We start from the raw sequence: 7,846 nt of genomic DNA on the forward strand, positions 1-7,846 counted from the left end.
TTAACCCTCACTCTACTTCTGGCTTTTTCTTACAACTTCAAAAATTGTTTGTGGCCGGGCGTGGTGGCTCACGCCTGTAATCCCAGCACTCTAGGAGGCCGAGGCAGGTGGATCACCTGGGGTCAGGAGTTCGAGACCAGCCTGGCCAACGTGGCAAAACCCCGTCTCTACTAAAAATACAAAAATCAGGCGGGCGTGGTGGTGCGCGCCTGTAATCCCAGCTACTCTGGAGGCTGAGACAGGAGAATCGCTTGAACCCAGGAGGCAGATGTTGCAGTGAGCCGAGATCGCACCACTGCACTCCAGCCTGGGTGACAGAGCAAGACTCTGTCTCAAAAAAAATACAAAAATAAAAATTGTTTTTATTGACTACTTTCATTTTCTCACCATTCATTCTCTCTTTAACCTCTTGTAATCTTTCTTTTATCCTGTCTAGCACTCTGTTATTCATAAAGAGTATTTATAAGCTGGGCGCGGTGGCTTATGCCTGTAATCCCAGCACTTTGGGAAGCCGAGGCAGGTGGATCATTTGAGGTCAAGAGTTCGAGCCAGCCTGGCCAACATGGCGAAACCTCGTCTCTATTGAAAATACAAAAATTAGTTGGGTGTGGTGGCACGCGCCTGTAATCCCAGCTACTCGTGAGGCTGAGGCAGGAGGATGGCTAGAACCTGGGAGGCTGAGGTTGCAGTGAGTGGAGATAGTGCCACTGCACTCCAACCTGGGCGATAGAATGAGACCCTGTCTTAAAAAAAAGAAGCACAAGAAGAGATTGCCCTTCTTGCCTTTGAGTACAGTTTTCCTGAAGATGTGAATGGTTGAAGCTGTGACAGCCATTTTGTTAGAATGAAGGCTTACATCTGAGCACAAAACGCAACACATTGAGGATGCCAAAGCAGAACGTTGAGAAGCATCTGGGTTATCAACATCATTTTGCAACTAATTAACCAATTCCAGAATTACCTGTCTTCAGACTTCTTGCTATGTGTAATGATAATCCCCTATTTTTTTCTTTGAGCTGGTGCTTTTCTTTTTTCTTTTTCTTTTTCTTTTTTTTTTCTTTTTGAGACGGAGTCTCGCTCTGTCGCCCAGGCTGGAGTGCAGTGGCGCGATCTCGGCTCACTGCAAGCTCCGCCTCCCGGGTTCACGCCATTCTCCTGCCTCAGCCTCCCAAGTAGCTGGGACTACAGGCGCCCACCACCGCGCCCGGCTAATTTTGTTTTTGTATTTTTAGTAGAGATGGGGTTTCACCGTGTTAGCCAGGATGGTCTGGATCTCCTGACCTCGTAATCTGCCCGCCTCGGCCTCCCAAAGTGCTGGGATTACAGGCGTGAGCCACTTTGCCCGGCCGCTTTTCTTTTCTTTTCTTTTCTTTTTTTTTTTTTTTTGAGACAGAGTCTCACTCTGTCGCCTCTGGCTGGAGTGCAGTCGTGCGATCTCAGCTCACTGCAACCTCTGTGCCTCCTGGATTCAAGCGATTCTCCTGTCTCAGCCTCCTGAATAGCTGGGATTACAGGAGCCCGCGACCACACCCAGCTAATTTTTGTATTTTTTTTAGTAGAGACGGGTTTTCACCAAGTTGGCCAGGCTGGTCTCAAACTCCCGACCTCAGGTGATCCACCCGCCTCGGCCCCCCAAAGTGTTGGGATTAAAGGAGTGAGCCACCGCTCCAGGCTCACCCCTTTAGAATCTACTTGCTACTCTGAGTACCTTCTTACAAATGCAATTGCGGTGCTTCTCACAGATTCATTTAAAAAAAAAAAAAAAAGAGGCCGGGCGCGGTGGCTCACGCCTGTAATCCCAGCACTTTGGGAGGCCGAGGCGGGCGGATCACGAGGTCAGGAGATCGAGACCATCCTGGCTAACACGGTGAAACCCCGTCTCTACTAAAAGCACAAAAAATTAGCCGGGCGTGGTGGCAGGCGCCTGTAGTCCCAGCTACTCGGGAGGCTGAGCCAGGAGAGTGACGTGAACCCAGGAGGCGGAGCTTGCAGTGAGCCAAGATTGCGCCACTGCACTCCAAAGACTTAAAGTCCAATGTTAAAAAAGGGAGAAAATTACCCAGGATATTTTGTATCCTGAGTATACGTTATATAGAGATTGGTGGTGGTGGTGATTTTTGTTGCATTTGGGAGTTGCTATGAAAGTTGAGGGACTAATTTTTTTTTTCTTTTTGCTTAGGCAAACTCCTGAAAACTACTTCTCTTCCTATTTTCATGCAGAGAAACTTAATTTCTCCTTGCCTTTTCTCCCCCTGTGGAGTTAAAAATAGTATGGATGCATTTATTTTGTGTCAATTTCCATTAGGATGCCTGCAGATACTAACAGATTCTTCAAAGTCCAAAAAGCAACCTCAGATTTTCACATTGGGGTAAGTGGAAAATAGAAGGCCCTTGATTCCTATTAACTAACCTGATTGGGTATCACCATTGTTTTCATTGCTAATAATTGTTTTCCAATGAGAATATGAATATTTTTATTTTAATGGAAGTTTTATACCTACAGTAAATTCATAGGCATTAGTTCATTCACTACTAAAATGTATACTTCTCTGAACTCAGACACACAGGCCATTTAACAGGATACATGTGACATAATAAATTAAAGTGACATGAAAATGAAAGTTTCATCTATTTAGAACTGCAGAGAAGATTTCAGGTTGTCAGATTATATGTTATTACTAAGTCTTGGTTATTGAGGTTAGTGCAGTAAATTGATTGAGTGCTTCATTTAAAATACTAATTGAGCACCTGTCTGTAAACAGCAGTTAGGCAATATGGGTGAATACTAAAAAGGTAACTTTGGTAATATTGGGAATACTAAAAATATATACAGAGAGAACGAGCACGAAAGTTTCATTAAAGAAAAGTGTAATGGAAGACATTTGACATATACATAAGAAAAACTCATTAATAATGAAAAGCAACCATACAAGAAATTTAGAGAAGCAGAGTGCCGAGGGAGTGGGGGCGGTGGGAGGCGGTAAGTGCTAAGCATCGGTCCCCTCAGCAGTTTGAATGATTTTATGAAGCAGGTAAGATTCCTTCATAGGAAGCTGAGAGAGGGTGAGGGTAAGTGGAGGGGCTTGGATGATCACAGTATGAAAAAATGGGAAAAATGGAAGGAAGACTATTCTATTCAAGAAGACCTAACAGCAAAGCCATGCTCATGGACCAGTGACTAGGCCAATCTGACCAGAGCAGAGATTTCAGATGGGAAAAAGCGTGAAAATCATATTTTAGTAGCGTTGGAAAATATCTAAGATTTCATCAGCAAGTTTCCTGGAAGAGATTGAGACTGGAAGGTTAGTTTGATTTATCAGTGTCTAGTAAAGTTGAAAACACACATACGATATGTTCTAGTCAATGCTTGGCAGGAAACAGAATGAGCTCTCACCCTGGGTAATTGAGGACAATTCAATAAAAGAACTATTTACCAAAATGTGGGCAGGGTTAATGGCAACCTTAAAAAGCAACAAGGGTAGCAATAGCAGGGGAGCCTGGGGGACTTCATTGCTGCCCCCAGGCCTGAAGAGGCAAAGAGAGGGAATGGTGATCAGAACTGCAGAACACAGGGAGAATAGCAGGGGCAGTAGGAGAGCTCCTTGACAGGAGGCCTTTGGTGGAGGAATGCAGCCAACCCACAGAGGCCCAGCAGGACGGGAGCCAGGAGAATAAATGCCCAGATCACACTCTCCTCCCACCCTCTGCTTTCCTGCTGGCATCTTCCAGAGGCCAAATCCAACAAGAAGTCAGAGGGAAAGGAAATTCATGGCTAGCAGTTCATAAAGGTCAGCTTCCTGGGGCCAATGCAGGGAGGAAGAAAGAGAAGATCAGAGGAGCAAATGGAAAACATCCAGTATACCACGTGACCCACAATTCTGTTACAGGACCACAACACTACCCCAAAGGTAGCCATTGGGTCAGGGTTTCTGCACTATAGTCCCATCTGGGTTGCCAGAAATATGTTACAAGGAAGGGGTCCCGATCTAGACCCCAAGAGAGGGTTCTTGGATCTCGCGCAACAAAGAATTCAGGGCGAGTTCGCAGTGCAAAGTGAAAGCAAGTTTATCAAGAAAGTAAAGAAATAAAAGAATGGCTACTCCATAGAGCAGCCCAGAGGGCTGCTGGTTGCCTGCTTTTATGGTTATTTTTGAGGTTATGCTAAACAAGGGGTGGATTATTCATGCCTCCCGTTTTTAGACTACATTAGGGTCACTTCCTGACGCTGCCATGGCATTTGTAAACTGTCATGGCGCTGGTGGGACTGTAGCAGTGAGGACGAGCAGAGGTCACTCTCGTTGCCATTTTGGTTTTGGTGGGTTTTGGCTGGCTCTTTTACCGCAAGCTGTGTTTGTTTGTTTGTTTGTTTTGAGACGGAGTTTCGCTCTTGTTGCCCAGGCTGGAGTGCAATGGAGCGATCTCGGCTCACCGCAACCTCCGCCTTCCGGGTTCAAGCGATTCTCCTGCCTCAGCCTCCGGAGTAGCTGGGATTACAGGCATGCGCCACCACTCCTGGCTAATTTTGTATTTTTAGTAGAAACGGGGTTTCTCCATGTTGGTCGGGCTGGTCTCCAACTCCCGACCTCAGGTGAGGTCTCCCAAAGTGCTCGGCCTTCCAAAGTGCTCGGCCTTCCAAAGTGCTCGGATTACAGGAGTGAGCCACCGCGCCCGGCCTTACTGCAAACTGTTTTATCAGCAAGGTCTTTATGACCTGTATTTTGTGCTGACTTCCTATCTCATCCTGTAACTTAGAATGCCTTAACCTTCTGGGAATGCATTCCAGTAAGTTTCAGCTCATTTTACCCAGCTTCTATTTAAGATGGAGTTGCTCTGGTTCACACGCCTCTGACAATTCTACTCTAAATTTCACACCGTATAGAAACTTCCACGTGTGCAAAAGGACAAGCACAAATATTGTCTTGCAGCATCGTTTTTAGTAGCTCTAAATTGGGGAAAAACTGAATGTTCATCAATACGGGGCTACGTAAATTGAGGTGTATTCATTGATAGAATGTAGTGCAGCCATTAAAATGAATGAACTGGATATATATAAGCATTTGTGTGTGTTTGTGCACGCGTGCACATGCATGTTTTAGAGGGATACATGTAGTATGACATACTGAATAAAAATATTTAAAACACACAGAAAAAGCAATTGTATATTGTTTCTACCTACATGTTATGTAATAGAAGTATAAAAACATGAGTAAGGCCGGGCACGGTGGCTCACACCTGTAATCCCAGCACTTTGGAAGGCCGAGGTGGGTGGATCACAAGGTCAAGAGATGGAGACCATCCTGGCCAACATGGTGAAACCCTGTCTCTACTGAAAATACAAAAATTAGCTGGGCATGGTGGCACGTGCCTGTAGTCCCAGCTACTCGGGAGGCTGAGGCAGGAGAATCACTTGAACCCGGCAGGCGGAGGTTGCAGTGAGCTGAGATTGTGCCACTGCACTCCAGCCTGGCAACAGAGCCAGACTCTGTCTCAAAAAAAAAAAAAAAAAAAAAGAGTAAAAGAATATATGAAGTCGCCTGTAATCCCAGCACTTTGGGAGGCCGAGTCAGGCAGATGACTTGAGGTCAGGAGTTCGAGACCAGCCTGGCCAACATGGCGAAACCCTGTCTCTACTAAAAATACAAAAAAATTAGCTGGGCATGGTGGTGTGTTCCTGTAACCCCAGCTACTCAGGAGGCTGAGGCAAGAGAATCGCTGGAACCCAGGAGGTGGAAGTTGCAGTGAGCTGAGATTGCACCACTGCACTCCAGTGTGGGCAACAGAGCGAGACTCTGTCTCAGAAAAAAAAAAGAATACATGAAATCAGAGAAACTCAAATTGTGATAGTAGTTTCTTCTGGTGAAGGAAGAAAAGAGAATGATATCAGGGAAGATGAAAAAAGAGACTGTATTAGTAAGGCTTCTCCAGAGAGAAAGAATCAACAGGATCAATGGATGCATAGGTAGATAGATAGATAGATAGATAGATAGATAGATAGATAGATAGATAGACAGACAGACAGACAGACAGACAGACAGATGAGAGGGGATTTATTAGAGGAATTAGCTCAAGTGATATGGAGGCTGAAAAATCTCATGACAGTCCATCTGCAAGCTGGAGACCCAGGGACACTAGGAGCATGGCTCAGTCCAGGTCTAAAAGCCAAAAAACCAGGGAAACTGATGGTGTAATTATCCATCCCAGGTGGAAGGCCTGAGAACCTGGAGTGCCCCTGGTATAAGTCCCAGAGTACAAAGACAGGAGAGCCTGGAGTTCTGACTTCCAAGGGCAGAAGAATGTGTCGCAGCTCCAGGAGAGAGAGAGAAAGAATTTCTTTCCTCCGCCTTTTGATTCTATCTGGGGGCCCCAAGGCAATCGGATCGTGCCCGCCCACATGGAGGGCATATCTTCCCTCCTTTATCCAGCAACTCACACACCAGTCTCCTCTGGAAACACTCCCACTGATACACCCAGAAGTAATGCCTTACCAGCTATCTAGGTATCACTTAATCCAGTCAAGTTGACACGTAAAATTAAGCGTCACAGGGGCCTTCAACTGTATTGCTTATTTCAGAAAGATCTGAGGCAAATATGACAAGTCTAGTGATACTGCTATGAAGGGGGAAAAAGGCAGAGGAAGGAGATGGGGAATCATGGTGGATGACATTTAAAATCTAGGAAGAATGATTACAAGAATCCCTCCTGGGGAGGGGATATCAGCGCAGAGACCTAAATGAGGGGAGGGTAGAGATGCAAACATCCAGGGGACCAATACTCCAAGCTGAGGGAGCGGCAGGTACAGACACTAAGGGGTATCCTGTTTGGCTCATGACTGCAGTCCCAGCACTTTGGGAGGCTGGAGCAGGAGAATTGCTTGAGCCCAAGAATTGAAGACCAGCCTGGGCAACATAGCAAGACCCTGTCTCTACAATTAAAAAAAAATTAGCCAGGCATTGTGGTACATGCCTGTAATCCCAGCTACTCAAGAAACTGAGGCAGGAAGATCATTTCAGCTCAAGGGGTTGAGGCTGCAGTGAGCCAAGATCACAGCACTGCACTCCAGTGTGGGTGACAGAGCAAGAACCTGTCTCTTAAAAAAAAAAGTGTATATATATGGAAAAAAATATATTTATATAAGGAGAATATATATATATTTCCATATATATATTTATATAAGGAGAATATGTATATTCTCTAAAAATATATATGTTTTTCCTTATATCTGAAAAAATATATATATATACTCCCTAAAAAGGAATTCCCTGCATTTTAAAACTGAAATATATATAAATGTTTTATATACATAACATTACATTTATATTTTTATATATATATATATATATATAGTGTTCTGTTTATGTTGTTGTTGTTGTTGTTTTGAGACAGAGTCTCACTCTATTGCCCAGGATGGAATGCACTGGTGCGATCTCTGCTCACTACAACCTCTGCCTCCTGGGTTCAAGCAATTCTCCCGCCTCAGCCTCCTGAGTAGCTGGGATTACAGGCACATGCCACCATGCCCGGCTAATTTTTGTATTTTTAATAGAGATGGGGTTTCACCTTATTGGCCAGGCTGGTCTCGAACTCCTGACCTCAAGTGATCCACCCACCTTGACCTCCCAGAGTGCTAGGATTACAGGCGTGAGCCACCACACCCAGCGTAAAGTGTTCTGTTTTAAGTGAACAATCCAGCATATTTAGTATATTAACAATGTTGTACAACCACAATCTCTAATTCCAAAACATTTCAATCACTATAAAATGAATCACTCTGTGCCCATAAGCACTTTCTCCCCATTTCTTCCTCTCCCCAACCCCTGGAAACCACCAACCTGCATTCTGTCTGTAT

Source organism: Homo sapiens, chromosome 12 (assembly GCF_000001405.40).
Source record: "Homo sapiens chromosome 12, GRCh38.p14 Primary Assembly".
Lineage (NCBI taxonomy): Eukaryota > Metazoa > Chordata > Mammalia > Primates > Hominidae > Homo > Homo sapiens.